General features: G+C 52.4%; 2 protein-coding genes and 2 long non-coding RNA genes across 5 annotated transcripts in view, besides 3 other annotated features; 1 reads left to right on the plus strand and 3 right to left on the minus strand.

Annotated features, from left to right (window-relative positions):
* The window catches only part of LOC105369322 (uncharacterized), a 43,823-nt gene extending 37,649 nt beyond the window's left edge, over nucleotides 1-6,174 (minus strand). The window contains exons 1-2 of one of the 2 annotated variants that reach the window (XR_950149.3): nucleotides 6,023-6,166; nucleotides 3,742-4,061 (exon numbers count right to left, since the gene is read on the minus strand). This is a non-coding gene — a long non-coding RNA (uncharacterized LOC105369322). Of the gene's footprint in view, nucleotides 1-1,940; nucleotides 4,062-6,022 lie in introns of those variants that run through there. The other variant, XR_001748241.2, reaches the window with a different exon arrangement.
* Nucleotides 11,230-12,429: an enhancer, noted in NCBI's record as "MED14-independent group 3 enhancer chr11:60608676-60609875 (GRCh37/hg19 assembly coordinates)". NCBI's record gives its function as "activates an origin of replication core promoter dependent on BRD2, BRD4, P300/CBP and CDK7 cofactors, and independent of MED14, by STARR-seq in HCT116 cells {active_cell/tissue: HCT116}" and the evidence as "EXISTENCE:reporter gene assay evidence [ECO:0000049][PMID:35650434]".
* Nucleotides 11,230-12,565: a biological region, named in NCBI's record as "MED14-independent group 3 enhancer GRCh37_chr11:60608676-60609875".
* Nucleotides 11,833-21,108, minus strand: CCDC86-AS1 (CCDC86 antisense RNA 1). Its single transcript, NR_182293.1, has 2 exons — nucleotides 20,793-21,108; nucleotides 11,833-12,007 (listed from the first exon to the last, which is right to left on the minus strand). It is a non-coding gene; the product is annotated as a CCDC86 antisense RNA 1 (long non-coding RNA).
* Nucleotides 12,140-21,108, plus strand: CCDC86 (coiled-coil domain containing 86). The gene is made up of 4 exons (NM_024098.4): nucleotides 12,140-12,909; nucleotides 17,951-18,080; nucleotides 19,967-20,041; nucleotides 20,233-21,108. The coding sequence occupies exons 1-4, from the start codon at nucleotides 12,152-12,154 to the stop codon at nucleotides 20,350-20,352; spliced, it is 1,083 nt and encodes a 360-aa protein (NP_077003.1). The 5' UTR covers nucleotides 12,140-12,151; the 3' UTR covers nucleotides 20,353-21,108.
* Nucleotides 12,336-12,565: an enhancer, noted in NCBI's record as "active region_4780". NCBI's record gives its function as "activates an Ori minimal core promoter by ATAC-STARR-seq in GM12878 lymphoblastoid cells {active_cell/tissue: GM12878}" and the evidence as "EXISTENCE:reporter gene assay evidence [ECO:0000049][PMID:35858748]".
* On the minus strand, nucleotides 20,960-25,977 carry PTGDR2 (prostaglandin D2 receptor 2). The gene is made up of 2 exons (NM_004778.3): nucleotides 25,896-25,977; nucleotides 20,960-23,758 (listed from the first exon to the last, which is right to left on the minus strand). Exon 2 carries the CDS (start codon nucleotides 23,747-23,749, stop codon nucleotides 22,562-22,564), a length of 1,188 nt encoding a protein of 395 aa, NP_004769.2. The 5' UTR covers nucleotides 23,750-23,758; nucleotides 25,896-25,977; the 3' UTR covers nucleotides 20,960-22,561.

Genomic DNA, 26,599 nt, shown 5'->3' on the forward strand with positions numbered 1-26,599 from the left:
GGCATATGCCTGTAATCCCAGTTACTTGGGAGGTTGAGGCATGAGAATCGCTTGAACCTGGGAGGCAGAGGCTCCCAGTGAGCCGAGATCACGCCACTGCACTCCAGCCTGGGCAACAGAGCGAGATTCTGTCTCAAAAAAAAAAAAAAAAAAAAAAGTTGAGTACACTGTATTTGGAGCGACCACATTTACATAACTTTTTTTTTTTTTTTTGAGATGGAGACTCCCTCTGTCGCCCAGGCTAGAGTGCCGTGGTGTGATCTCGGCTCACTGCAACCTCCACTTCCCGGGTTCAGGTGATTCTCCTAACTCAGACTCCCAAGGAGCTGGAATTACAGGCTCGTGCCACCACGCCTGGCTTTTTAAATTATTTTTAGTAGAGACGGGGTTTTGCTATGTTGGCCAGGTTGGTCTCAAACTCCTGAACTCAAGTGATCCGCCCACCTCGGCCTCCCAAAGTGATATAACTTTTATTATAGTATATTTTAATTCCATTATTTTTCATCTCTTACTGAGCCTAACTTATAAATTAAACTTTATCATAAGTATGTACATGTTGGAAAGAACATAGTCTATGTATAGATGAGAAAACTGAGTCCCAGAAGATATGATGGCCAAGAGTGCCAACGCAGGGGCCAGACAGTCTGGGTTTGACTCTCGGCTCTTTCCTTCCCTAGCTGTGTGATATTAGGCAAGTTACTTAACCTCTCTGGACCTCCACTTCCTCAAATGTAAAATGGGGCTAATGCTAATTCCCACCTCATAGAGTTGTGGTGAAGACTCTATGAGTTAATATATGTAATATGTAAAGCTCTACCTTAGAATAGAGACTGCTTCTAGAAGACACCTGAAAGTGCTGCCTTATTGAATACCTTGCCCAAGGCCTCACATTAGCAAATCATATAGCACTGATTCAGAAGGAAATGACACAACCCAGACACCTCGCCCTGGAGGAGCAAGAGGACTATCGAGCCACTGACAAACATTCAGAGCAGCGCTTCCCGGTTCCCACCTCTGTCACATGACAGCCTATGGCGGAATGCATATCCCAGTAACTGGGAGACTCCAAAACAGTCACCGTATGTCCCCGTGGCATAGACCTAGTTTGCAACCAGTGTCGCATCTAAACAGATGTTCCTGTTTGGAGGATAAATTATATCCCTGTAAACCCTGGGAGAGTGGCTCTCTACACGCAGGCAGCTCCAGAGACTTGCAACATACGGCCACCAGGTGGCGGCGTAGCATCGAGCACTGAACTTGAGCACCTGCTCTGGGCAAAGAATTCATGAATGCCCTGGCCAGGCAGATACCAGTCTCAGATATTTGCGGGCACCTGCTGAGGCTACTGGTACCAGCAGGATCAGCTCCACTCAAGGCTGCATTCAGAAAGATATTTATCTGCAGAATGGAACAGAATTGGTCAAGGAGGGAACAGCCAGGAATGTCATGGTTCAGAGACACTAAGCTGGTACCTTTGGGCTTCCGTTGACACCCGCTCCTCCAGTTGTGGTTACCCTGAGCTATCCTCACTCCAGGAGCTACTCATGGCCTTTGGGGCATTTCGAGGTTATTCCACATGAATTCTTAGTCTTATATCACCAACAGGATTGTGTGGCCTGGCACAAGTCCTGCTTAGAGGACGGATCAGAAACACTTGGATGCCTGGGGCAGGCTAAAAATTTGGCAGTCTTCCAAATTGATAGTCAAATATGTCTCATTTCAACTGAGTGAGGATGGCAAGAAGCCATTTTCACATTAATACAAATCGTAACCCCCTTTCTTCATGTTCAAAGTGGAGATGTATTACACGCACCAACAGGACTCTAACTGATTTTGGAATTGTCTTTCCTGATTCTTCCCTGACTCATAACTGGAAAGCATTGCTCACCCACTCTCCCTCATTTGTAAATAGCAGAAATTACTGCAGAAGCAATAACAAGTCTTATTCTAGATATATTTATTGCTTGTTTTCAGGCGCTTGTGGTTACAGCAACGGTGTTTCACTTGGTTGCCCAGGCTGGTATGCATTGATGCAATCATAGCTCACCACAGCCTCAAACTCATAGCCTCAAGCAATCCTCCAGTCTCAGCCTCCCGAGTAGCTGGGACTACAAGTGGACAACTTTTTAGGAGATATTTTTTAAGGCTTGCAGATACCTTCTTGGTAAACCGTCCTTTGCAGTGCATTAATTGGTTTCAGAATTCAGGCTGCCCAGCCATGCCCACTGCAGAGGCTGCCAGCTGGCTGATCTCAGAGCCAGACTGGCCAGTGGATGCAGCAACTTGCAATGCACATTGCAGAAATACCCCCACAGAGGTAGGCTGGTGCTGGGGAGGAGTAGCTTTTCTTTCTACTTAGGGGCATTGTCTATTTTGGCAAAAGGGACACCAATTTCATTTCCACCAGCTATGTGAGAAGCTGCAGGTGGAAACCTGAGTTAACAGGCAGCAGATTTCTGATGGATCCCTGTGGTTTCAGTGTTCCTCTGATTAGTGGATCAGGAAGCTGTCCACCTGCCCAACCCATAATCCCCTTTAACTTGCCTCCTCCAGGAAGTCTTCTTTGACATTCTCTCACCCTTGGGGACCTCAGCTGGTGAAACCCTATCAGTTTCACCACTGGACCTAGCTTGCCTTACTGGGCTATCTGTATATAGATTCCAATCTTATGTCTCCCCAGCTAGACTCAACACAGTTTGAAGACAGCATCTACATCTTACATTTTTTGTGGTCCCTATGATACCCAGCATATGCCAGGCAACAAAGGAAGGTTTACTCGAATCACTTCTTCCTTGTTGACTGATATCAAATCCTTTTAGAGAGTGTCCAGGTACCAATTCCTTGAACAAGCTCCTGAGTATGGACCTGACGTGTCCCTAACACTCATTATACCTTTCCTAATGATTCTTTTGTGTTATTTCAAGAAAAAGTGGGAACGTTTAACAATTATTCTCCAGAAATTACCACCACAATGTGAACTTGTCCTTATCCAGAAAGTAATTTTACATTATCATAACAACTAGAACATGGTAATGTTAGCAAAATTCTCTCCAGAAATCAGTATCAAAACTTTTGCCCACTAGATGTTTGTTTCATAACCATTCATCCGACAATTTTTTATTGCAACAATTATTTATTGAGCAACTACCAAGCACAGATGGTCCTCAACTTAAGATGGTTCAACTTAGGATTTTTCAACTTTATGGCGGGTTTATTGGGAGGTAACCCCATCATAAGGTGAGGAGCACCTGTACTAGTTTGGGTTTGGGGGATATAGGAACAAACAAAATAGGGGAAAAAACTTATCATAGGGAACTGATATTCTAGTCAGTGGGAAATGGACAAGTAAGATATATTAACATATTGTGACTAAAGAACACGGAAGGGCTCATTGATCCAAACGGCCTCTGATGAAGCAATGGTGCTATGATGGGCATCATCCCTACCAATCATATTTGCCCCAGAAAAGGGTGCAAAGATAACCAGAAGACTTTCCCCCTTGAGAGAGATGCCTGCTTGTTAGCAAATAATTTCTGTACCAGTTGCTATGTCACAAACTACCCCAAAACTTTCTGGTGTAAAACAATCATGCTACCATGCTCATAGATTTTATAGCCCAGAACTTGGACAAAGCAGAGTAGGGAGAGGCGATCTCTGCTCTATGATTTCTGGAGCCTCTGCTGGGAAGAATCCAAGTTGAGAGTGGGAGCTAGAATCATCTGGAAGCATCTTCACTCATACCTGGCAGATGATGCAGGCTGTCAGCCAGGACCTCAGCTGGGCTGTGAGCTAGAGCACCTTCACAGGCCTCTCCATGTGGGATGATTTGGACTTCCTCACGACATGGCAGGTGAGTTCCAAGAGTTAGCATCCTGTCCATGAAAGCCAGGTGGAAGCTCATAGCATTCTTATAATCTAGCCTCAGATGTCACACGGCAGGCTGGGTGTGCAGTGGCTCATGCCTATAATCTTGGCACTTTGGGAGGCCGAGGCAGGAGGATGGCTTGAGGCCAGGAGTTCAAGACCACCTTGGGTAACATAGCAGGACCATAGCAGGACCTCTGCAAAATAATAATAATAATAATAATTATCCAAGTGTAGCAGTGTCCACCTGTAGTCCCAGTTACTCAGGAGGCTAAGGCAGGAGGATCGCTTGAGCCCAGGATTTTGAGGCTACAGTGAGCTATGTTCACACCAGGCTGGGCAACAGAGTAAGACTCTGTCTCTGAAAATAACGTGAAGAAGTCACATGGCAACAGCCTGCCATACTTGGCTAGGGCAATTACAAAGATCCATGCAGGTTTGAAGTGCAGGGGGGTTGTAGACCCCACTACTGGAGGGAAGGGGGCATCTAGGTCACATGGTAAGAAAAACATACGGGTAGGAGATACTTTTGAGGCCAACTTGGGAAAACGCAATGTCCTACACCACCTGTGTCTAATTTCCAAACAAGTGGGATATCTCGATCTACCCAGAGTCATCTTGAAAGCAGAGAGCAAAAACCACTCAAGCAAAAGATAATATCTGAGTGTTGTATAATCTTTGGTTTGGAGCAGAGAACAAAAAAAGCAGCAGAATAACACTTCAATTGATCAGCCCCTGCCCTGTATAGAAGGTATTCATAATGATCTGAAATTTCTGGCTTATTTTCAAAGAATAGAAAAATTAGGCCTGGGCTAGAGAGGAGACTCATTCTTGATTTAGTCAAGTGCCTAAGACACAGAGACAAAGCGGTGTGAGTGAAACTGTACACACTTTGGAAGCAGAGTGCTAGATTTAAACCCTCACTGTGCCACTTACCAGCTGCCTGTCCCTGGGCAAGTTTCTCCACCTCTGAAAAATAGGGCAGCGATATTAACTTCCTCATGGGGTTACTGTGAGAATTAAATGGGGTAATATCTGCCAAAGCCTTCGTAGCTACTCTGGAAAGAATCTCACTCATTTAAACTGCCAGTGAAACTGATCCATTTTTATGATGTTTAATTAACTGCAATAAAATGTGTTCTCATCAAGACTGCTGACCATTCTTATGTCCTGAAAGCTTACCCTAAGTGACATACTTTTCAATTGGTAAACACAGGAATGGGCCTTTTTGGGGAAATGATCTGCTTGTTTCTATAACTGCCCTTTGAAAGAATGCACCATGGCATCGGAGATCCAGAAGAATGAGCCTTGTTGATCCAGTGGGGTCCAGGAGTTGCTCCGTCCTTGGGGGGCTCACGTTCTGTTTGCTCCATGAGAACAGAGAAGGGAGACTGTTGATTCAGGGGAGGGCTCATCTCACCAACCTGGCATTGTATGAGCCTGCTGAATCAGATTTGGGGCCGGTTTTGATCACCACTAGAGTGTCAGAGAAACTCAGCAGTAGAGAAAGCAGAGATTTTCCCTATCACGTGGTCAACAGGAAGCAAGGAATCAAGAAACCAGGAACCAAGCTGATCTCATAATTTGCTCATAATTTGCTCCTGGTATGCTCCTCCTTGGTCACCAAGGCAGGGTTTCCAGGGGTTGCCATTGAGATGAAGCCACCATATTGATTGGAAGGGATGACCATCACTTAGGCAGATCTCGCACTGTGCAAGGCTTAGAGCTTTAGAGGAAATGAGAGAATAGGGAGAAGTGAATAGAGAGGAAGCCAAATATTAGAGGAAATGAGAGAATAGGGATAAGTGAACAGAGAGGAAGGGAGGGGAAGTGACTCACTATGAAACTGTGATTTTTCAGGTCTTAGGAACTGAGAGTCCATATGTATGGGATGTAAAAATGTGTGCCTACCCATCTGTCTGTCTAAGCTCTTCTTCCATACACAGGGATGAAGCCCGCAGCTTTCACCCACTGGCAACATATGCACGGGGTCTATAGCTCTCCCATCTAAATGCAGCCCCATGAAGCTGAGATGGCTCATAGCCAGGGAATAGGGGCCAGATTCTGAGTTGAGAAGTCCTGAGTTCAAGTCCTGTGACTTAACATGTGGGTAACATTCAGCAAGTCAGGTAACCTCTCTGAGATGCCATCTCCTCACCTGTAAAATGGGGGAATTAATTCTTGCTCAGCCTTCCTCAAAGGATAATTTTCAGATTCAGGTGTTTATTATCTGTGCCCCCAAGATGCCGTAAGATCCACTAAGGCAGGGACCATGATTGCCCTCTTCCCTGTTGTACCTCTTCATGACACCTGTCATAAACATTCAAAAAAGACTTGGTGTACAAATGAATGATAGTATGATGAACTCAGCCCCTGCCCTAGACAGAAGGCAAAGAAAGAAAGCTCTTCTTCCATTGCTCGTTCCTTCCCACCAGATACTGCTCCTTAAAGTGTGGTCTGTGGACCAGTAGCAGCAGCATCACCTGAGAGCTTGTCAGAAATGTGAATTCAGTCTGGGCATGGTGGCTCACGCCTATAATCCCAGCACTTTGGGAGGCCGAGGCGGGCGGATCACCTGAGGTCAGGAATTTGAACCCATCCTGGCCAACACGGCGAAACCCCGTCTCTACCAAAATTACAAAAATTAGCTGGCATGGTGGCGCATGCCTGGAGTGCCAGCTACTTGGGAGGCTAAGGCAGGAGAATCGCTTGAACCCGGGAGGCAGAGGTTGCAGTGAGCCGAGATCACACCACTGCACTCCAGCCTGGGCGACAGAGTGAGACTCCATCTCAAAAAAAAAAAAAAAGAAAGAAAGAAATGCAAATTCATGAATCTTAATTTGGGGGGTCAGAGCCCAGTAATCTGTGTTTTAACATACCCTCCATGATTCCAACACTGACGTTTGAAAAGCACTACTGTTGGACACACTGGGGTGAGGTGCCATGCCCCCTTCTTGAGTTAACGACTTTCTACCTGGTTCAGGTGTTCATTACCCAACCCACCCCACCTCTTCTTGGCCTGCCTTGGAGCAGGAGAAATGCTATGGAGGCTGGCAGGGGCCTGAGGAGGGAGAGGAGGTCTTGTCTCCTCCTCCCCCTCCCCATGGTGACCTGGGGTAGCAGGTCTGGCCCCTTCCTGTTTCAACAGAACCTGCAGATACCGTGAGAGGATCAGGAGATAAACTCTGCTCTCCTCAGCCCTGAGCAGGGGCAGATACATGAGAGCTTTGCAAAGTGGGCCTCTCCCAGCCAGGCAGCTTCTCTGCACCCTGGCAATGCCCCGTAGGGGCAGCTGGGAGGTCTCAAGCTGGGATTTCAAGTACCACTCCATCCTCCCCCATCCCTTGACCCCTCTCCTGAGGTCTCTTCCCACCTCCTCTCAAGGGTCTGAAACTGATAATGAGCTGTTAGAAGCACGCAGCATAGATGAGCCTCTGAGATAAGCATGCACGGTAAGAACTCACACGATCACCCTGGTAGTGTTCCACGTTCTCAGTGGCACCTGATTCAAAGTACCTAGAAGCAGCTCTTCACACGTGCAAAAGAGAAAGTGGGGGTAACTACTGAAAGAGGAGAGTTGGGCTCCCAGAGAGGTAAAAACAAAATGCAACAGGGACAGAGGAAGAATCCTGCACTATCCGAAAAAGCCAACGGTTCATGTCCAAGATCAGAGCAAGGGGATGTAGGGAGCAGGAGAGCCTGACAGCCACGGGAACCAGACTGAGGGTTTCAATCAGATGTCCATGGGGTGGCTTGAATGTGATCTTGACCACACTGATACAGATCATGGAGTAGGGAGGTGACAAATCCACTCAGCCGTCCATGGGGCAGTCAACCTTAGTGCCACAAGGAGCTCTGGGCCCCACATTCTGGAAGCATTGTAGAGAACTGGTGTCTTTCCCAAAGACTTATCATGTTATGGGAGGAACAGGAGATGCTTAACCTGGATAAAAGACAATTCTGGAAAAGCTACAAGAAAACTGACTTCAAATACTTGAGAGAGCTTTGAGCAAAAGACAGAGCAGCTTGGATCTTTGTAGCACAATGAAGATTAGCTGAGGCCCAGTTGCACCTCTGCCCATCTGGGTCCTGCCTTCACTCCTGCCATGCTCAGCAACATCCTCGTTGCCAATGACACCCCAGACTGAGTCAGCCCCATGTCCCAGTCCTAGGCCTGGTGGAGGTGGAGGTTTAGGGCTTAGAGTCAAGAAGCCCTGAGCTCCAGACCTCACCCTGCGCCCTTTTTGTGTCACCCTGGCCCCGAAGCGCAGCCTCTCTGGGAGTGGGATTTCCTGGTCAGTACAATGAGGATGATCACCCCAGCCCTGTAAGGTCCTAATGAGGATCCATTCATTCAACAAATACATATCAAGTACCGTGCTCCTGCTGAAAATCACCCTCCCGAACCGGAGCTCTGGGGAGCACAGGAGCACCCAGAAGAGGTCTGGCGCGTGGTAAGTGCTCAGTTAATGCTGCTGATGACCGCCAGGGGCCCTTTCCCTGCCCTTCTCTCAGAGTTGGCTTCTGGAGAAACACAGCCTGAAACACCGGGGCAAGCAATGATTGGTCCAGGCATTGTTTCAAGCACTCTGCAAGTACACCACCACACCAGGCTCTTCTGAAAATTTCAGGAGTCTCCTCTGGGCCTCTGCACACCATGTATAATGACAATGACAAACTGAGCTCAGGTGGGAGTAGGGGGTTCTGGGCCAGAGCCCACCTGATGCTGAGGTTGACAAAGTGTCTCCAAGTGTCTGGGGGCCACCCAAAGGCCTCCTCTAAAACACATCTCCCTCTCTCTGGTGAAAACCTGAGATCACCCTCTGAAGTATTTCAGGCAAGGCTAGGTGTTGAACAGAAAGCCATGGGGACCCAGGTCTCTGACATCTGGGGACTGTCAGACCCTCTCAACTGTAGCACCCCTTAGCTGGGGGGAGGTCAATGACTCAGAGGAGAACACCTGATCCTATCTTCCATCCATCTGCCAGCGCTTGGTTTCCATCAGTCAGCAGATCTCAGGTTACATAAATAAACTGGTATTGCTGATTCGGCACATTCTGCACGATGGTGTGTGCCAGGTGGTACCCACCTCCTCCCAGCACACAGACCAGAATCAGTGTGACGAATAGGTGAGCAAGGCCCATGTGGGGGCAGCTGCAAGGCAGCTAAGCATGCCACCTCTGGAACCACAATCCTGGCTCCTGAATGTGCCGCTGTCTGATTTTGGGCAAGCACCTTAGCCTTCCCATGCCTGATTCCTTGCCTGGATAACAGGCAGATTTACTGTTAAGAGTTGTGGCTCTGGAATCAGACAGTCTAGGTGTGGATCTTGCCTCTACCACTTATTTGCTGTGTGACCTTTACAAGTGTCTCAGCCTCTCTGTGCCTCAGTCTTTTTTTTTTTTTTTTTTTGAGACAGAGTCTTGCTCTGCCACCCAGGTTGCTGTGCAGTGGCACGATCTTGGTTCACTGCAACCTCTACCTCCCAGGTTCAAGCAATTCCCCTGCCTCAGCCTCCTGAGTAGCTGGGACTCGAGGCGCCTGCCACCACACCCAGCTAATTTTTGTACTTTTAGTAGAGATGGGGTTTCATCATGTTGGCCAGGCTGGTCTTGAACTCCTGGCCTCCAGTGATCCGCCCACCTTGGCCTCCCAAAGTACTGGGATTACTACAGGTGTGAGCCAGCGCACCCAGCCTCTCAGTTTCTTTATCTGTAAACTGGGAGTAATAACAACTGCACCTGCCTCACAGGATTGTTGGGAGAAGCATTAAGAAATGGATTTGTACTTGGAGAGTACTTGAAACAATGCCTGGACCAATCATTGCTGGCACCAATGTTTCAGGCTAGGTTTCTGCAGAAGCCAACTCTGAGAAGAGGATTAAGTACAATATTTGTCTGCTCTGAGAATGACCTCAGCAAGCATCTATAAGAAAGTGGGGAAGTGAGACAGGGATGAAGCCAAAAGAGGGTCCATGAGCAGATTACCTTTGTGGGCAATGCAAGTTCAATCCTGTTGGTGGCCTCTGGGGGCTACAGAGAAGCCCCTCAGTATCCTACCACCTAAAGGCAAGAAAGCTGTGATGTAGAAAGCTGCAATAAAAGCAAAGGAGTGGCCAGGCACAGTGGCTCACGCCTGTAATCCCAACACTTCAGGAGGCCGAGGCAGGAGGATCACTTGAGCCCAGGAGTTCAAGACCAGCCTGAGCAACACAGGGAGACCCCGTTTCTACAAAAAAAAAAAAATAGCCAGGCATGGTGGCATGAGCCTGTGGTGCCAGCTACTCAGGTGGGAGGATCCCTGGGGCCTGGGAGGTCAAGGCTGCAGTGAGCTGTGATTGTGCCACTGCACTCCAGCCTGGACAACAGAGCAAGACCCTGTCTCAAAAATAATAATAATTTTTAAAAGAAAGCAAAGGAGTGTAAGGAGACAGGGTCCCAACAGCGATCGCCACACCAGGCGCTTCTGAAAATTTCAGGAGTCTCCTCTGGGCCTCTGCACACCATGTATAATGACAATGACAAACTGAGCTCATGTGGGAGTAGGGGGTTCTGGGCCAGAGCCCATCTGATGCTGAGGTTGACAAAGTGCCTCCAAATGTCTGGGGGCCACCCAAAGGCCTCCTCTAAAACACATCTCCCTCTCTCTGGTGAAAACCTGAGATCACCCTCTGAAGTATTTCAGGCTAGACTAGGATATGATCCAATCGGCACTGGAGAGTGATCCCTCCAGCTGGGGACAAGAGCTTAGGAGGCAGGGCAAGCCAAGGGGGACTGGAGCAGGGCAGAGGGGCATACAGTCTCCTCCAGCACTCTGGCAACACCTGCCGGGCTTGGTTCTGAGTGTCAGATCATTGGGGTCTCCAGGCAGGGGCAGGGCATTTAAGGAACTGAATGGAACTCACTCCTCTGACAGTTGGGGGGTGGAAGAGCTGGGCAAGGAGGTGTCCCGGCTGCTTCTGCTGTGGACAGCTGCATGGCCGGAGAGGAGCAGTGAGGCAGGCAAAGCCCCCCTGCAGGGGTCTCCTTGACTCAGGAACATGAGGAAGATGAGGACACTCTGATCCCTGATATTCTTGGACAATTTCCCAGGCCCTCTCACAAGCCCGCAGCTGGAGAAACAATGGTTTCTAAAAGAAACCACTGGAATGTCAGACGGGGCCCTGGGACCTTTAATGGCCAACCCCAGGCAGTTCCAAGAATTACACAACTGGGCCACTTCCAAGATGTTCTTCCTAAGAAGCATGCTGTAAGTAAATCAAAGCCCCACTCCTAGGTCTCACACGAAAGTCTCCACAGCCCCACATTCCCCAACCCCACATCCCGAGAGTCTTCTCTAGGCCTTGGGAGGTCCAGAAGTCAACACCTGCTCACTGGTGAGGTCCCAAAGTGCTTAGTAAGCAAAGTACATTTACAGGTGAATAGCAAGGGAAGGGAGGGGAGGCGAAGCAGGTTCACACACGAGCAAAAACCACTGTCTGGGCTGAAAGGAAGATCGGAGATGATCCAACCCGTTTCTAGAACTGGGGTAGAAGAAGAGGGACGTGGGAGGATATGCAGCTGGTCGAGGGCCCAGGTGAGCCACAGGACAAAGGTGGTGCATCTTATTGGTACCTCAACTTCCCTCACAAACGTTGAAAACGCTGAAAAGGGAGGGAGAGCTATGGATTATATACGGAAGCACAGGACGGAAGAATCAAGAGTGTGAACAATTAACACAGAAAAGACCGATCTTCCACCTCCAGGACCCCCAGGTAGCAGTCCCTCAGGTAGGTGGGAGGAGGACTCTGACAGGATCATTTGGGATGCACGAAGCTAGTGCAAAATGACCCCTATTACAAATGAGAAAACAGGCCCAAGGAGGGCAGGACTCTGCCCAACTGCACCGGAGTTGGCTGCAAAACATCCACTGGGCCTTGCCTATGGGCTCCTCGGACCTTTTTTCGACTCTGTTCTCTCCCTGAAATGGGTCCTCCCACTTTCCCTTTTCTACTTGCTCGCTCTTCTTTCCCCAGGAAACTTTGCAAGAAAGGCAAAAGCGAATCCCAGGAAAAAGACTGGCTCATCAATCACATGTTGACTGCGCTCGCGCGAATTGCGCATGCGCATGCTGAGCCCCACTCTCCCCAACCCCGGTCCCGCCTCTCCACCCCTCACCAACATGGCCGCCTCAGCAACAGCCCCCCTCCTGTGCGTCACGGACGCGGCGACTCCTGACGTCATAGGAAGGCGCCGGTTTCGGCGGGGGCTGCACGTGCGCAGGGGTGTGGAAACTTACCGGCTGAGCCATGGATACACCGTTAAGGCGCAGCCGACGGCTGGGAGGCCTAAGGCCCGAATCCCCCGAGAGCCTCACCTCAGTTTCGCGGACGAGACGGGCCCTTGTGGAGTTCGAGTCGAACCCAGAAGAAACGAGGGAGCCCGGGTCTCCTCCGAGTGTGCAGCGGGCTGGCCTGGGGTCCCCCGAAAGGCCGCCGAAGACAAGCCCAGGATCACCCCGTCTGCAGCAGGGTGCAGGCTTGGAGTCACCCCAAGGGCAGCCAGAGCCAGGCGCAGCGTCCCCCCAGCGTCAGCAAGACCTACACCTGGAGTCGCCTCAAAGACAGCCAGAGTACAGTCCTGAATCCCCACGATGTCAGCCGAAGCCAAGTGAGGAGGCACCAAAGTGTTCTCAGGACCAGGGAGTACTGGCCTCGGAGTTGGCCCAGAATAAGGAGGAGCTGACCCCGGGGGCCCCCCAGCATCAGCTACCGCCGGTCCCAGGATCACCAGAGCCTTACCCCGGTCAGCAAGCTCCCGGTCCGGAGCCCTCTCAGCCACTACTGGAGCTGACACCCAGGGCACCTGGCTCCCCCCGGGGTCAGCATGAGCCGAGCAAGCCACCTCCAGCTGGGGAGACGGTGACAGGCGGCTTCGGGGCAAAGAAGCGAAAAGGTTCTTCATCCCAGGCCCCAGCGTCCAAGAAGTTGAATAAAGAGGAGCTTCCTGTAATCCCGAAGGGGAAGCCCAAATCGGGGCGAGTGTGGAAGGACCGCTCCAAGAAAAGGTGAAGTGGGGGACAGCATGGACAGGGGTGGCGTTCTCTATGGTGTTGGGACCCCGCCTTTGCCCTGCTGCAGCCTGGAGAATAGCCCCAGGGTTAGAGAGAGCTCACGTTAGTGGGGATGTTAGCAAACAGGTAATTACAATCAGAATGTGGTAAAATGCCCTGGGATCCCGGAGAGGGTGGGGCCAGGCCCTCAAAGATCAATTTCTCTGATGCCTTTCCTCCTCAGGGTCCCTATGGGCCTCTCCTGTAGCACCTCAGGTCTGTATTCGTTCAACAGACATTTACCGTTGTCTGCCCTCTCTAGTGAGAGAAGCAGAAGCAAGTAAACCAGCCATTACTTGATCAAAGCAGTGAGGTCTTCATCCAATATAGTCTATTACAGTTATTTGCCTTTAAGATAAAAAGTATTACTGAGCACTGATTATATAAGGATTTACCAGTCAACAGCCTTAATAAGGATTTACCAGTCAACAGCCTTTCAAACATGGAACAGCATGTGTCATCACGCTTAATCTGCACGTCAGCCCTGTGAAGCAGGCGGTGTTATTATTCCTGTTTTTTGTGTGAGGAAACCAAGGCTAAATGAGTGGTAGGCACAGGACCTGAGCACAGATCTGATTCCGAAGCCTGTGTGCAAAAAACCCCTTTACCCAATCCCTGTAGATCCACCTTGAATTGGATTGCGACCTTCTTAAGGGGCAGGCACGAGATCTTTCTTGTCTTTCTGTGCCAAGGGCATAGTAAATGCCCAATGAATGCTTATTTAATGAAGGAACGAAGTAGCTCATCTGAAGAAGGAAGAGTGTAGGCTGCCATGAAGGAGAGGTGTGGGATTCAGTTCCAATTCGAGCTAATGGGAACCACAGGGGAGAGTCAGGGATGTATGCCTGTGAGGGACCATGAGGAAGGAGGGTGTTTTTAAGGAAGAAGCTGACTCTGTGCCAGGCTTCGTGCTAGGCCCTTTTCTTGTATCCTTAAAACCCTAGGCTGTGGATATTATCCCCCCACCCCTGATGAAACAGAAGAAACTGAGGCTTACAGAGTAATTTACTGCAAGTCTCCCATGGGAGAGACTTTGAGGCTAGAGTGACTGTAACTGTTGGAGAAGTGGATGATGGCACTACCCCTCTGCCCTGTCCCAGGGGGTCACAGGAGAATGGCAGGGCCGTTGATGGCCATGTGGAACTGGAGGAGGCTGGTTCAGGTGGGAAGAGGGTGATGAGCAAGTTGAGCGGGTGAAGCTTGGGGTCCTGGTACTCACGCTGCAGGTGGGGAGATGGGCTTGCTGAGCTAGAGGGGGCTGGGCCCATGCAGAGGTGGGGAGAAGGGAGGGGCCCACACAAGACACAGGATCAGCAGCTGGAGCAGAGTAGGAGGCCACAGATCACTTGACCAAGAAGTCTGGAGAGAGGGTGTGTGGTTCCAGCTCCCTGCCCAACTGCAGACCCGTCCTGACTCACTGTTGCTCACTCAGAGCATGCACTCCAGACTCCTTAATGAGGCCGGCAGGCCCACCCTCCTCTCCCCTCCATCACTAGAGCTTCCACACTGTTGTCCCCTCCATGTTCCTCCCATGTGTGACGCTCCCTCCTTCCTCAGCGCCTTCACACGTGCTGTTCCCACTGTTTGAAAGGCTCTTTCCCTGGCCAGTCCCCCACTCATGTTTCAGGGCTCAGTTCAAATGTCACCTCCTCTGAAAAGCCTCTCTGGCTTATCCAACTAGGGTTAAGTCCCCATGCTTTATGTTATCATTGTGTGCTGTACTTCTCTTTTGTAACACCTCCATTTGCACAAATGCTTATTTATTTGTGATTCTTATTGACTGCCTGTTTTCCTTTAAACCGGAGGCTCCGTGAGAGTGTAAGAGTGGGGACTTACCTATCATGACTAGATGCCCCAGAGCCCAGTGCAGGGTAGGGCACTAAGCTGAACAAGTGGATGAATTGAGGACAGAAGGTAGTTCATTCATTCATCAACCAGTTGCTCAGATCTTGGGTAAACATGTCTGTGAACAAAAAGTCTCTGCTCTCCTGAAGCAAACATTCTAAATGTGGGAAACAGATAAAGAACAAGTACACACATGATATGTCAGTAATAAAGACTTCAAAGAAAAATAAACCAGGATGGGGACCAGAGAATAACAGGGAGGGCAGGGTATTGCCACAGTGCTCAGAGATGGCCTTGCAGATAAACAGGTCTGAGCAGAGGGAGCCGGGCAGAGATCTGGGGAAACAGTATCCAGGCAACAGGAAAGGGATGTTCAGAGGTATTGAGGCGGGAGCAAGCTCCCGTTTGAGAGGCTTTCCAGAGGTCTCGCTGCTGGAATGAGGGGGAGAAGGGGAACAGTAGGAGATGAGGTCAGAGAGACAGCAGGACCTGGTGACCCTTACAGGGACTCCCGGCTTTCCTGAGTGAGCTTGGGAGCCATGGAAGGGTGTCAAGCAAAGGAATGAAATGACCTGACTTGTGAGATCAGCCTGGCTACTGAACACAGACATAGGCGGGCAGGGGTGAAGGCAGGAAAACCCACAAGGAGGCTGTCTCAAGAGAACTAAAACAGCTTCCGAAGCTGCAGGCAAGTCTGTGGCGAGGGGCCCAGCAGGGCCACTGAATGGATGTTTGGGATCTTTGAGGGAGCAGCTTCGGTGGGTAGTAAGTGAGCCTGGAGATGGGTGGGAAGCAGCTCCTGCTGCAGGGAGGAAGACAGCCGCAGCTGGGAAAGTGTATGTGGTGAGGGAGACCTGGCTGCAGCCCTGTCTTCGTGCTCATGCCAAACGCCACTTTCTCCATAGTGCCCTTGGGCATGCTGTCTGCCTTCTCTGAGGAGTAGCATTTATGGAGCACCTATTACGTGTGTGTGTCGATTAAATCTCCCACCACCCTTTGGGTTAGGAATGATTCTCATCTCCACTGGACAGGATGCTGAGACTTAGAGAGGCTACCTTGCTCCAGGTCACCCAGGTTGGACTTGGAACCCAGGCCTGAGTTTCCTCAATACCCAGGTAGAACCAATGGTCTGGAACTGCCCTGCCTCAGTACCTTAGCCGCCAGCCACATGTGGCTATGTACATTTAAATTAATTAAAATTAAATAAAATTTAAGATTCAGTTTCTCTATCAACACCAACCACATTTCTAGCGCTCAGCAGCCACCCATGACTAGTGGCTACCTTATTGGACAGTGTCAATGTGGAATGTTTCCACCATCACAGAACGTTCTGTTTGACAGCCCTGCTCTACACAGATGCAGCACTGTGTCTTGTGGTTCTGTGTGTCTCTAGGCTCCCAACACCTTGTCCCTTCAGGGTTCTCGTACCCCAGCTTGGGAAGCCCAGCTTTACAGTTATGGGGGAAGTCCATGTGGCACCCCATTCTTAGTGCTTAGGAGGCCAGGCCTTCAGTGGCAAGGCCTTGGGAAGGGGAGAAGGAAATCAGGGAGCTGGGGCCAGAAGTCGGCAGGGCCAAGGGACACCAAAATGGGCCTTGAATCTTTAAAAGAGAAAGACCTAATTTCAGCATGTGGAGGCCACCGAGAGACTTCTTTGCATTTTGTTTTTACTTTTTTTGAATGGAAATTTTCAAGCATACAAAGAAAGAGCAAAGCTCTCAAGTCCCCATTATCAGCATCAACACAGCTCAGCATTTTACTAGTGTAGCTTCATCTTTGATACTTGGCTTTTTTTTCTTTTTTTCTTTTTTTTTGTTTTGAGACGGAGTTTCATTCTTGTTGCCCAGGCCAGAGTGCAATGGAGCAATCTCGGCTCACCGCAACCTCCGCCTCCTGGGTTCAAGCGATTCTCCTGCCTCAGCCTCCCAAGTAGCTGGGATTACAGGTGTGTGCCACCACACCCAGCTAATTTTGTATTTTTAGTAGAGACAGGGTTTCTCCATGTTGGTCAAGCTGGTCTCGAACTCCCGACCTTAGGTGATCGGCCCACCTCAGCCTCCCAAAGTGCTGGGATTACAGGCGTGAGCCACTGCGCCCGGCTGATCTTTGGCATTTTTTTTTCCCTGAAATATTTTAAAGTACATCCTAGACATATCATCCCATTCATAAATCCTTGTAGTATGCATTTTTACAGAGATGAGCTCAGTTCTCCTGTAACTCTAAAATCATCGTTGCTCTTTTCAGATTTCCCTGAGAGCCCTGATGCCCACTTCATCTCCAACTGGGGGAAGAGATTCTTTTTCTTTTTTCTTTTTTCTTTTTTTTTTTTGAGACAGAGTCTTGCTCTGTCACCCAGGCTGGAGTGCAGTGGCGCGATCTCGGCTCACTGCAACCTCCACCTCCCAGGTTCAAGCAATTGTTGTACCTCAGCCTCCCAAGTAGCTGGGACTATAGGCATACACCATCACACCCAGCTAATTTTTGTATTTTTAGTAGAAACTTTAGTAGGTTTTAGTAGGCTTAGTAGGTTTTGCCATGTTTGCCCGGCTGGTCTCCAACTCCTGGACTCACGTGGTCTGCCCACCTTGGCCTCCCAAAGTGCTGGGATTACAAGCATGACCACTGCATCCGGTCTTGGCGGGGAAGATCCTGAATCATTACCCAGAACTTTAACCACTCACACTGTTCTGAAATGGAATGGGCCACCTCCCTAGGGGGTGAGCGCCCCGCCTCCAGAGGCATTCACACCCGGGCCAAATGCACTTGGCGGAAGCAACAGAACTTTACAGCAGGGGCCGCGTAGCCTGGACTCTGCAGTCGCTGACAGGATTCAAGTCCTGACTGCCACAAGGTATCTTTAGGCAGCTATTTAACCTCTCCGCGCCTTGGCCTGCTCCTCTGTAAGTGGAGAGGATAGGAGTACCCACCTCAGAGGCATGTAGCCAAGGCTTGAGAAATGGCAGCCAGCACGATCAGGGTTCCCTCCCGCCCCAAGTTTCTGCAGCCCTGGAAGGCCGCCTGTCAGGCCAGCAAGGAGGTGGTTCTGCCTGGGCTCTGGGGAAGAAGGTCCAGAGCCTCCGGCCGAGAGGAGACAGGGCATGGGTGGCGCTTGCCCCACAGACCCTGTATGCACCCACTCTCCCCCTTTCAGATTCTCCCAGATGCTTCAGGACAAGCCCCTGCGCACATCGTGGCAGCGGAAGATGAAGGAACGACAGGAGAGGAAGCTGGCCAAGGACTTTGCCCGTCACCTGGAGGAGGAGAAGGAGAGGCGCCGCCAGGTGAGGGGCCAGCCAGGCTGAGGCTGGGGCTCAGAGGACTAAGCTAGTGTCTACTGGTACAGACCTGAGGCGAGGGCCTCCACGGGTGCCTGGGGGAGGCCGACTTGGTTAAAAAACGTTCTTGAATCTGAAGGCCGGAGGGAGGAAGGGCACCTGGCCAGAAGCAGAAGTGCAATCTGGGACTACAGGGCAGGGAGGCCCAGGGGACCATACAGTTTAGCCTGGGCTGCTGAAAGAGCCTCAGGGACAGGGACGGAGGGGGAGGACCAGAAGCGGGCCTTGGGGAGAAGCCCGGGAGGAAGTCCTGGGTGGTAGGGCAGTCAGTGAGATGGGGTCGAGGGCCCTTTGCTGGGACGTACTCAGTTGGGAAGGGCTTGCAGATTTGAACTCCATGTCCCCGGTATGGCTGCTGTCATTCTCCAAGAAGCAGCCCACACACCAGCAACGTGGATGGCCCCCGCACCTTTCCTCCACTTCTGTCCCCTGTCACCCATCCCAGAGCCAGGAAGCCCCTGTAAAGGGTCACAGCCTCACCCACATCTGCCAGGGACTTTTAAGCGGGGGGAAGAGGGCACTCAGCAGGCAGCATGCAGAGAAAGCGGAGTGGCATTGGTCAGCTCCTGCCCCCCAGGGCAGGGCAGTCAGTGGGAGATTCCTCCTCCACTCCTCTAATGACCCAGGCGTGTAGGAGGAGTGCCGAACGGGATTCAGACAACTCATCCATAGTCCGTGGTCCCAGGCTGGCCACTGAGAAAAGGGGTGGGCCAGTCACTCAGTCATCTGTCCCCTGCTCTAAGTCACCCCAGCTCAGCTTACAGCTGACATCTGAGGAACAGTGTGTCCGCCACCATATGCTGAGGCCTTATCTCTTTTCCTGTGTGGCCCTGGCTCCCTCTTGGGCAAGACAGAGCTGCCGTCTCACTTCTCACCGTCCACTGCGGAGGTGCTCCTGCCCAGCCCCCAGCCCGGGCCTGCCCTGACCACAGGAGGCCAAGGCTCACTTCTCCTTCCTCCCCAGGGGCCTGGGCCACCCCTGCTACCCCAAGTCACCAAAGCCAGCAGAGACTCCTAACCATGCAGCAGCCTTGGAGCTGACGTCCCCACCCTGGCCTTGCTGAGGGACACAGTCAGCATGGCTAGAGAGCACTGGGCTTCCCCTCCCAAGACAGACTCCATCTAGAGTCTCAGTGTGCCCAAGGAGCTAGGGGCTGCTCCAAGTCCTGCACGTGCATTCCCTCATTGATTTCCCAAAACTATCTTACGAGGTAGATACTGTGGTCACTGTCACTTTAAAGATGAAGAAGCTGAGGCACAGACTTAGCTAAGGTCTCCTGTTTAGGAAATAACAGGATCCAGATTGAAACCCAGCCCAGATAGCTCCAGAGCCTTTTCTGTGCAGTGCAGCCCCTGCCCAGCCCCACACCTGTGAAAATCTCAGGGACCCAGCCCTCACCCCTAGCCTGGCATTCTGCAGCAGCAGGACTCCAGGGGAAGAGGGGGAGACTGTCGGAGAGGGTGGGAATGGGGGAAGGGCCAGCACCCCTTTCTCCCTTGGCAGTTGATGAGGGTGGCATGAGGGGTCACTGTCTGCATGTGCGTGAATCTCCAGGTGGGCACCCCCAGTGTCTCAGCCCCTGTCCTCAGTTGCCTGTCCCATACCCACCTCTCAACATGCTATCAGGAGCTTCCACCACAGCAGGCCCCTGGCACTAGACCGTGGCACAGGATTGCTAGCCCTCCACCCACACATCACCAACCTGGAGCCTGGCAGAGAGGGCCTTTCCCCTTCCTCCTGGGAATTCTGCCCGCTCGCACTCTTCTGGGGCCTGAGAGACCAGGGCTGCCTCTGCTCCCCGACTCAAATCCCCTTCTCCCACATGTTCCAGGAGAAGAAACAGCGCCGGGCTGAGAACCTGAAACGCCGCCTGGAGAATGAGCGGAAGGCAGAGGTCGTCCAAGTGGTGAGTGTCTCGTTTTCCCCCTCTGCCCTTCTGCCCCACTTGGGGGTGCAAACCAGGGCCTCGACCCCTGCCTCATGTACCCCCACTCTCATGCTACGATCTCAGGCCCCTGTGGGGCGGCCTTCCTCTCCCCTGGGAATTTGGACCGAGGCTGCAGCTGCACTAATGTCCTCCCCTCATACCACCCCCAGATCCGAAACCCCGCCAAGCTCAAGCGGGCAAAGAAGAAGCAGCTGCGCTCCATTGAGAAGCGGGACACCCTGGCCCTGCTGCAGAAGCAGCCGCCCCAGCAGCCGGCAGCCAAGATCTGAGCTCAGGACGGCCCGAGGCCTTCCATGGCCAACAACCATGTCAGACACAGCACCTCAGGCCGCTGCTCAGATGCCTCTGCTGGAGCTGGCACTCCAAACCCATGGCTCCAGAACAGGGACCCCCACCCCGACCGGGGCTCCTCGGCCTTTGAAGGCTTCCAGGCAGGTCTGTGTGGGACAGAAGCCCAGAGGGGGCCTGGGACCTGGCAGAGATGGGGGCGGGAAGAGATTCAGCTCCCATCCCTCCTTCCTCTCCTTCTCCAAGTGCCTTCAAACCAAGAACTGTACATTCTTCTGGTTCCTCAGTGAGCTGGTGACTGGCAGGTGACTCCCTCAGCAGTGTATGCCCTTTCTCAGCATCCTAGGTCCATCCCAGGCCTGGAGGCTGACAGTTGGGAATCCAGCTTCCCCCACACCTTCCCAAAGGCTGCTCTGAGCACCTCCACACCCCACTGCCTCTGTCCCCAGCAGACTGAATCCGGTTCCTCTCCACTTTTCAATACTGAAAGATTAAAATGGGGAGGTTGCAGGGAGCAGAGCTTTTCCCTAGCACCCACTTTCCCAAACCAGTCTCTGCAGAAGCCCCAGAGAATCTAACTCATGCCTGTCCAGTCTACAGCAAAAATATTTATTGAGTGCCTGTTGCATACAGGCACAATCCTAGGCACCGGCAAATACAGACAATAGACCAAAGTCCCTGCCCTCGAGGAGCTTTCATTCTGATGGAGAGAAAACATAATAAACAAGCAAAATGCACCACGTGTCCAATGGGGGAAGTGCTATGAGTAAAGGGGGAAGGGATGGGAGGGAGCAGGGGCGAGGTGTCAACACAGGGTGGCTCTGCAGCTAGCTGGGCACCTCACTGTTCCCTTTGCTCAGCACCTGCTGTGGGCCAGGCCTTCAGTGACCCTGGCCTTTGGTGGCAGAAAAAACACAGGACCAAGATCTCAAGAGTTTCTCATCTGCTTCTTCCACTGACATTTCATCCACCAAGCAAAATTCATTGACACCAACTTTTCGGTCCCTGGGCTGCAGAGCTCAAACACAGCAGTCTCTGACCCCAAGTCCACGGCAGGTGGAGGAATGAGACGGGGTGCAGTGGAAGTGATAGGTCAGAGGTGCAAGTTACCCCTCCCATCCGCAAAAGGGAAATGGTAGCTGCCCAGCCCCATGTGGCCTGGAGGCGGGGCTGCACAGATCTTGGGATTACCAGTGCCCAGAGGGATCCCACAGAACACCAGGCCGACAGGGAGGCTGGTCCGCTTAGCTAAGAAATGACGTGTGCTGTAGTCTTAGAGTTGCTGTGCCCATTCAACTTCTAACGACCGAAGACTTTTAGTCATTTCCCCCATTGGATTTGATTAGCCCCAGGTTTCCCGAGTGCTTGACCACGCCATCCCCTGCTGCTTCTGCCTTGGAAGCACTTTGGGCAGTGCTGGGTCACAAGGTAGCATCTTAAGTCCCTCGAGTAGGTCAGAGAATGTCCTCGCTCACCAGAGAGTCATTGAGCATGTGATGCCTAGGGTTAGAGTGCAGACCCTGTGGTCGTTAGCCCTGAAACTGGGCAAGTCACTTAACCTCCCTGAGCCAGAATGTGCTCAGCTGTAAAGACTGGCTAATAGAAGCTGCCCCTTAAGATTGTGGGATGAAGCGTCTAGCGCAGTAAGCATTGGCTAAATGAAGAGGGCAGGCTGGAACAGTGCTTCTCAAACCTTTCCTCTCTCTTCTCCAAAAATACATGGATGGTTTAACATAAAACTCCTTCCCCCCTCCCCCATCATCTGGTAAAACTGAACTCCGGGGAGACGCACCCCGTGTGCCCTTCCGACTCCACTGCCCTAGAGTGGGAAGTCTATTATGAGTTTCACTTTGTGTTACTCCAGGCCTCGCCTGTGAACCTGCCGCACTGGCTTCTCGGCCTGGGAGCTTGTTAAGTGCAGACTCTCAGTACCCGGCCCCGGCCTCCTGGATCAGACTGCACTTAACAAGACCCCTAGGTGATTCACAGGCACATCAAGGTTTGAGAAGCACTGCTTTAACTCACTGTTTCTGAAAAAGATTCAGAGTCTCCCGGGGCGCTTTAAAATGCAGGTGCCTGGGTCCCGCCCCTCGGACTTTGATCACTGCGGCAGGAGTCCGGATATCGAATTGAACCGCGGCACCCTGGTGATACTTTCGCGTGTGAGTGCCGCCCTACGTGGGCCGGGTTCTAACTCGAGGTGCTGCTCAGCGCCCGGTTCAGGGGGCCCGTCTGCGGGGACGCTGCGCAGCTGCCCAGCAGCCAGCCGAGGAGACGCGCGGGGCCCCGCGGTTCCTCCGGGCGGCTGCAGAGAGCTAAAGGGGAGGCCGAGCGGGCGGTGGAGGAGGTGCGGCGGCGGCGGCTGCTTCCCGCGCCACCCAGCTCGCTGTCGTCCACCAGCACGCTCTCCAGCACCGTGCGCAGCGAGCGCCGCAGCTTGCGCAGCATGTCGGGGCAGGTGAGCACGTAGAGCACCGGGTTGGCCACGCTGTTGAAGAAGGCCAGGCTGGTGACGAAGGGCAGCCCGCGCCACACGAGCGGCCGCAGCCCCGGGTTTGCGTGCGCCCGCGCCTCCAGCAGGCTGAACACGTGGTAGGGCCCCCAGCAGAGCGCGAAGGCGGCCACGACGGCCGCCACCAGGCGCACGAAGCGGCCTGGCCGCCGGCGGCCGCGGTGCTGCAACCGCAGGCTCACGGCCGCGTGGCTCGAGGCGATGATCGCCAGCGGCACCAGGAAGGCCAGCAGGAACTTGCTGACGGCCAGGGCCACCTGCCGCGAGTTGCACGTGGCATCGCGGTCAGGCCCCGGGTTCAGGAGCAGCACATTGTAGTAGCACATAATGCGCCCGTCCAGCCGCGAGATGGTGTCCCGGAACACGAAATAGGGCACCGTGTTGAGCACCGCTAGTGCCCAAAGCACCAGGCAGACTTTGTGCGCCGCGGCCACGGTGCGGTGGTTCTGCGCCCACACCGGCCGCACCACCTGCAGGCAGCGGTCCAGGCTGATGGCGCTGAGCAGGAAGCCGCTGGCGAACATGTTGAGAAAGAAGATGGAGGAGTGCAGTTTGCAGAAGGTGGTGCCCAGCTCCCACGAGTGGCCCACGGCCAAGAAGTAGGTGAAGAAGGGCAGGGAAGCAGAGGCCAACAGGTCGGACAGCGCCAGGTGCAGCACCCAGGTGGTGACCACGGTCTGGCGCATGCGGCAGCCCACCACGAAGAGGATGACTCCATTCTCCACCAGGCCCAGCAGCGAGGCCAGCCCGTGCAGCAGCACGGCCGCGTGGTCGATGTAGCGGATGCTGGTGTTGCTGTGGCTCTGGAGACGGCTCATCTGCTCCAGGATGGGGCAGAGTGGCTTCAGTGTGGCGTTGGCCGACATCGTGGGGCTCTGCAGTGGAGGGAAGGAGGCGCCTAAGTTGGAAGTGCAGAGGCCACCGGGGAACCAAGAGAGAGGCCCGGAGTGGGACCCTGCCCAGGAGATGCCAATGTGACCCACGAATATATTGGGCGGTGGGGGTGGGGGGAATAATATCCCAGCATTGCTGTGCTTGGGCAAGTCATTTAACCTTCCCGAGCCTTTTTCTGCCTCTGAAACTTGGATGTCAGTCATAACATCACCTAGCTCATAGAGTTATTGGGAGAATTAAGTGAGTTTAATACATAAAAGCATTTAGAACATGGCCTGGCACAGAGCAAGCACTTTATCAGTGTCATTGTGATGATTATGGAGCAAATGGTCTAAGATCACACAGAGAAAAAGGAACAAGGTCAGGCCACACAGGACTCCTTTTTCCCATCCCCAGAGCACTGGCGGGTGAAGGAGGCCCCACAATTAGGGCAAGAGGATTCTGCTGGCCTGGGCGATGGAGATGCTGCCCCTTCCCACAGCATCCACAGCGCCCCCAGATGTTGCCTCTCTACAGATCCTCCATGCAGCTCCCCGCACTCAGTGGTGGCTGGTTAGATGTGCCGACCATAAACAGTGGAACCAGCCCCTCCTCTGATGGTTGGAGAGGAAATAAGATAAGAGCCAGGAGAGCTGGGGAGGAGGAACTCCCACATGGGGCTCTGGAGGCCCAGTGGGGCCAAAAGATCTCTCCCTTCTCAGGAGCAGCCACAGCAGCTCTCTCCGCCCCAGGAAACCCACCCCTGTTCATTCACTTACTCCATCATGCACTCATCCAACAAATAAGACGTGCATGCTTACATCCTCATTGAAAGCCCGAAAGACCATCTGATGTGAGGCTGGTCAAGACCAGTGAGGGCTGAGGAAATTCCATGAGGCTCCATGCAGGAGGTAGGAGGCAAGTAGCAGGGGACAGGGACTCAGGGTGTCCTGGGCACCAATGACACTCCAGGTACTATGGTAGGTCCTTCACATAGGTGCTGTCTTTCTGGCTCTAGAAAAATGGTGCTAGTACTCCATCCTATTTTACAGATGAGAAAACTGAGCCTCAAGTGGTTAAATAACTGGCCCAGAGCCACCCAGACAGCACAAACATGTGGAGGAGAAAGTTTCATGCTCAGCCTGTGCTCTTTCCTCTACCCCTACTCCAAGGAAGAGAGGATGGAGGAGGAGGAAGAAAAGCGGGAGAGGGGAGCAATGGTCTTCAGTACTCATCTTTCTAGGGAAAACACTGTTGGCCAGGATGAGAAAACCCACTCCCTTCCAGAGACCACAGTCCTTTGTAGAGTGGGGTTCTGGAATATCAAACTAGAATTCTGCTGGCGGAGGAGCCCCTTGGAGCTAGAGACCTGCAGGTAGATGGAAGAGGAGCCTGTGCTTCCTGAGAATGGTCATACTTCCTAGGCTTTAGAATGTGCAGAGCAGTTACTCTTGCAATGAACCTATGACACCCCATTTTTCAGAAGAAGAAACAACAACTTGCCCAGCGTTCCTCAGCTGCAACAGTGGGGCTGGGACTTCACTCCCAGCAGATAGCCAAGTACCACCCGCTGTCTGCCCTGAAACATTCCCTGCAGACCAGCTGCTGCTGATCCAAGTCCTATGGGGATGATCAGAGAGCACAGTCCTGCCACACCCTTGGGCACCACCAGATCAGTCCTTCTAACTCTATAGAGACAGCCCCCAGCCTCCCAGGATTCTCAGGAGCCAAGCAGCTAAGGTCCGGCTTTGGCAGGTTAAGAAAAAAAAAAAAAAAAAGGGACAGAGAGTGCAAGCTGTGGGAGTCCAAGACCTGGGTTTGAATCCCAGCTCCTCAGCTTCCTGGCTGCGTGACCTTGGGCCAGTTACTCTAAGCGTGCTGGTGTCATCTTCCCACCCAGACTGCTTGTGAATATTGACAGACAGTTGAGTGGTTTCCCCTCGTATCTGACATCTAGTTAATGCCTAAGAGAAGCTAATCCTTCCCTCCTCTGAGCACCAAGTCCCCTCCAGTCTTTGGTAAACTCAATCTTCTGCCATCCTAGCTGGTAACAGCCCTCTCACCTGGTAAAACTTTGCCTTCTTCTGTGGGTCTAGAGAGGGCACTAGGCTGCCCAACCCCTGGGCCACTCCTCCTTACCTGGGCACAGAGGGAGCACAGGATTCCAGCCCTGGAGGCAGTCAGCTCCTGACAGCAGCTAGACAAGAGGCAGCGGGCAGACAGAGGTGGGAGAGGGAGGCTGAGAGAGGAAATAGCTGTCAGCCCCAGTGCATGTGTGTTTAGGGGTGGGGTTGGGGGAGGCGGGGACAGCTGGAGAGTGAGTTGCCACACAGATGTTCAAATATCATCAATTTCCATCAATGCCGGCAGCCCCTGCTCCACCCATCCCCGCTTCATGAAGGAGACTGCAGAAGTCCAGAGGGCAGTGCAAGTGCACGTGAAAAAATCGATGTGTGCAAGAGAGTGTGAGCCCGAGTGTGACTAGGGGTGTGCTTTTGAGAGTGACCAGTGTGTAGGATAAGTGCGTGAGAAGGAGAATGTCTCATCCATCTGTCCACTGTTCCTGGGCTTCCATCTCCCGACACCAGAATCCTCAGAGAAGAAACCCCTCCAGCTGTTCTGAGTTTCCCAGGCAGTGTGGGGGCCTGTCCATGAGGGACCCGAGGGCTCTAAGGCCAGGAAAGTACAGTGGGGTAGTGGGGGCAGTGGCAAGAACGCAGTCCAAGAGGTCAGTCACTTCTGTTTGCTGAGCCCTGGGGTTGTCATCTGTGAACGGGAGCAGTAACATCGGCCTTACAGGCTGTGGTAAGGGTTGAATGAGATGGATTGCACAAAGCTCGTGG

Source organism: Homo sapiens, chromosome 11 (assembly GCF_000001405.40).
Source record: "Homo sapiens chromosome 11, GRCh38.p14 Primary Assembly".
Taxonomy (NCBI): domain Eukaryota; kingdom Metazoa; phylum Chordata; class Mammalia; order Primates; family Hominidae; genus Homo; species Homo sapiens.